Raw genomic sequence first — 3,408 nt, 5'->3', positions numbered from 1 at the left:
TATTGCAAACTGGTTCCAGCCACATAACTGGCGCCAGATGATTTTAAGCAAGTTAGAAGGATACATACACATTACATGCCATGGAACTCCTGTGTCTGCACGGGAGACCATCTGAACTTGCTAAGTCTGAAAGTTTCCATTGCTTTGTTTTTATCTAAGTTTGACCACTTTGAACAATGAGACATATTTGCCAGCTTTTAATAGAAGAGCTAAGATACATAAGGCTGTGTCTTTATGAGAATGTCAGAATCAGATTTTCTTGAATGTCACTCCTTTCTTCAAGCTATTCTAAATTTCACTTAGCCCATATAACATGCAGAAAAACATAACTATGTAACTAGAAACACCTAAGTTCAAGTCCTTACTTATAGCAGTGGTTTATATTTAGGCAGGTTACCTTAACCTCTTTCAGCTATTTCCTTGGTTGTAAAATGAAGATAAGGATGTCTATTTTGGGGAATTGTTGTGAAGATGATGAGATTGTATTTGCTAACTTCTGGTTTTACAGAGGATTATAGAGGATACTCAGTAATATCCAGTCTCTTTCTATACAAATTACCCTAACGGAAACTCTGTCGGAGACATTTTGTATATAATTTTCCTTTTATCACATTTGTTTGTGTACATTATTTAGGTAGTACACTATGTGCCTCTTCAAGACAAGTGGTTCCTTTTGGTAAATGATGTAGTAGATATAAATGTGGTTCTTTCTTGCTTCAAACACAATGACTTGCATATTGTAGAAACTCAACTAATGGTAGTCAGTAATTGAAGCAATTGAGCCATCCCATTCTCTCCTTTCATTATCTTAAATAAAACATACTAGATATTTCCTGGTTCTTTTCCACAGTCTTGGATTCTCTGCTGGTTCTGTAGAAAGTACTCAATAGATCTCAGTAAATCTTTTTGTGTGTGATTTTTTTTGTTTTTTGTTTTTTTGTTTTTGTTTGTTTGTTTGTTTTTGAGATGGAGTTTTGCTCTTGCTCTTGTTGCCCAGGCTGGAGTGCAATGGCGTGATCTCGGCTCACTGCAACCTCCACCAAGCGATTCTCCTGCATCAGCCCCCCGAGTAGCTGGGATTACAGGCATACGCCACCATGCCCGGCTAATTTTGTATTTTTAGTAGAGACAGGGTTTCTCCACGTTGGTCAGGCTGGTCTCAAACTCCTCACCTCAGGTTATCTGCCCGCCTTGGCCTCCCAAAGTGCTGGGATTACAGGCGTGAGCCATCGCGCCCGACCTAAATCACTTTATTTAATGAACTGTTGGAAAATCCCTGGGAAGCCACAAAGCTAGTCATGCTCAAGTACTGTATCTTTGAGAACCACTTGGACATATCACTTTAATTTCTCCTGGCTACATATGTACCCATTTTGTGTTGCGTTAATTTTATAGGTTGGCAGACAGGCCAAAAGACACACTCAGAGCCACAAGAAAACCATCTTCATATGGCCTGCCATGCTCTTCATGACTATTCTTCCTATGGCCTCACTTCCCACCAAAGCTCACTCCACCTGCCCTGTATTCCAGCCGTATTGCTGTCATCTGCATCTATGACCTAGGAATTCCAGTTGCTGCAGTGTCCTTGCTCTCATGCTTTGTTGGCCAAACTGCCCTACTGCTCCTGCAAAACACAACATAAATTGCACTTGTTTTGTGAAATAATCTTGCAAATTTCTAGGCAGAATTAGACGGCTCCTCTCTCCACTCATTATGGTCCCCACATCAAACTTCACAGCACTTGTCCCGTAGCTTCATAACCTGATCTTTGTTTAAATTGTGAGATCCTTAGGGCCTAGCAGTGATTGCCATGTAGAAGATGCTTGGTAAGGATTTTCCAAATTTAGTGAAGAAGCATAGGAAGGTGTCTATGAAGAGGAGGAAAGAGAAATTGGCTCAATAAGAAAAATAACTTGTAAGCAAAAGACATATTTAAAGACAAAATAATTTCCCAAATGCCTTTATTCTATACATCGCTTCTTTGCTAGTGGGAAATAATGATATAAATATATACTATTTACCAGAAGATAAACTCCATGCATAAGAAAAAAAATTCTTCAACTTTACTGACTAGCAAATTTTATATTTTGAAATCTAAATCTCCTTTTTCCAGAAAAGCTTTCCAGTCTGCTTGTAAATATTTTAACCATAGAAGAGTAAAAATCAGAGAGCCAAAAAAAAATTATGCAAAGGTATCTATCAGAAAAAAAAGAGACAGTTTGTGTCTGCAATTTGCTTTTACTTCTGTACATGTTTCAAGAAAATCTCAAAACCACCCAAAGAGATCCCAAATCTCAGATTTAGTCCACATTTCCTAATTGTTCAATCATATTGTAATTCCCCAGTTCCTAGTGCTAGTAATTGTCTAATGGTCTGAGGAAACACACACACACAAGCGCACACACACACACACACACACATACACACAGTCTTTTTCTTGAATCATCTTCGGCTTAGAGCACAGTAGCCATGAGGGTAACACTTTTTTCCTGTCTGACATTTCAGTTCTGAACTTTAGACATCTGATTGCAGTTGGATTAAGTTTAAACATGATGTCAGGTTTTCCACTACTTCATGAGCAAAACATGTTTCTCCTGAGTTTAAATAAGTCTAATTGTGCTTACTCTTGTGTTAATTTGGGAAATCCCTAGATTCTTTTGGAGGGAGGCAAATAGCAGTGTCCTACCATACATGATAAGGGGAGGGGAGCACTGAGTGATATGTGTCAGCCAGCAGCCACGCTGCTTCATAAGTAAACTAAGATACGCTTGGGTAGGAAAAGCTGAACTGGAGATTTTATGAATGCTACAGAGAGCATTTCTGGTGGAAGTATGAAAGGATGGTCATTTCAGTAGACCCTGTATTCTTAGTGCTTAAAACGTTGCATATAGTAATTGCTCAATAAATATGTGTTGAATAAAATAAATGGATAAGTGATACTGCCTTGCCATATAAAGATTAGTATATATGGATGGCAGGAACTTCAAGAAAAGAAAATCTTTGCAGAGTGATGCAAACTCTTCTTTACTTTTTTTCATCAACAATGTTTTTGAGGAGTACAAAGATGAACTATATTTCTTCTCCCATAGCAGGAAACAACCTCAGGACTGCTGAAAAGGACTTAGTCCAAATATCATTATCCTCATCACCCTTTTGTCTCTGTCCTCATAAACACAGCCATCACCACACCAGCCACAATAAATAGCTCTGTGACCTTGGGCAACTTCATTAAAATCACTGAACCTTAGTTTTATTTCTGTACGTGAAAAGATAGGGTTTGTCCTCTCTTAGCACCATTTATTCCTCCACATCTTCTCTCTAGTTGTGGAAATTTTTTAAGTTAATAAAATATCAGTGTTCTACTATGAGAGGTTATTAATACAGCATTATAAAGTTTAATTTATTTTG

Source organism: Homo sapiens, chromosome 9, assembly GCF_000001405.40.
Source record: "Homo sapiens chromosome 9, GRCh38.p14 Primary Assembly".
Lineage (NCBI taxonomy): Eukaryota > Metazoa > Chordata > Mammalia > Primates > Hominidae > Homo > Homo sapiens.
The sequence above is the reverse complement of the archived record's forward strand: the minus strand, read 5'-3'. Positions refer to the sequence as shown.